Source organism: Homo sapiens, chromosome 6 (genome assembly GCF_000001405.40).
Source record: "Homo sapiens chromosome 6, GRCh38.p14 Primary Assembly".
In the NCBI taxonomy this organism is placed as follows: domain Eukaryota; kingdom Metazoa; phylum Chordata; class Mammalia; order Primates; family Hominidae; genus Homo; species Homo sapiens.
Window position 1 is genome coordinate 22,304,772 of NC_000006.12, and position 638 is coordinate 22,305,409.

The following is a 638-nucleotide window of genomic DNA, read 5'->3' on the forward strand; positions in this document are numbered from 1 at the left end:
TGTAAATTAAAAAAAGAGATAAAAGGTTATCTGTCGACCACTTGAGAGAAGCTATGCTATTATTACCATTGGAGGTGATGTGGCATTTGAATGTTCTCTTTTCTACAGGCCTTTTTGTACTGATACCTTATAAAATTAACTTAATAGATGAGAAATAGTGTGTTTCATCCAGAAGGGAGAATTGATTTCATAAAGAAGCAAAGAGAATGAATATAAATTATAAGTTTCTGTTAATAACTGCAGAATAACAGATAGTCTTTAATTTCAGCTACACCTGAAAACAGAGAAAGTGTCCATTGGAATAAGTGGAAATCATAGGTACATATGTAGAGAGACAGCTATGAAATTATGAGAATGTTTTCATGTTTGGTTTATAAAAAGCTTTTTCATTGAGGTTATGTCAATTATATAGGAGTACATATTTTATCATTTAAGAATATTTTTTGAAGATAACTATGTGAAATAACTATCTTCCAAACTCTCAGCTACATGAATGAACAGTGAAATAATTATTTATGTGTTTTAATCTAAAGAGAACTTTAATACCAAATGTCAAGAAAGAAGTTTTCTTTTTTTCCATTTCCAGGTAGTTTCAAAAAGTATTCATTGCATTTGCTTGTGTAGGTCTGTATCTTATT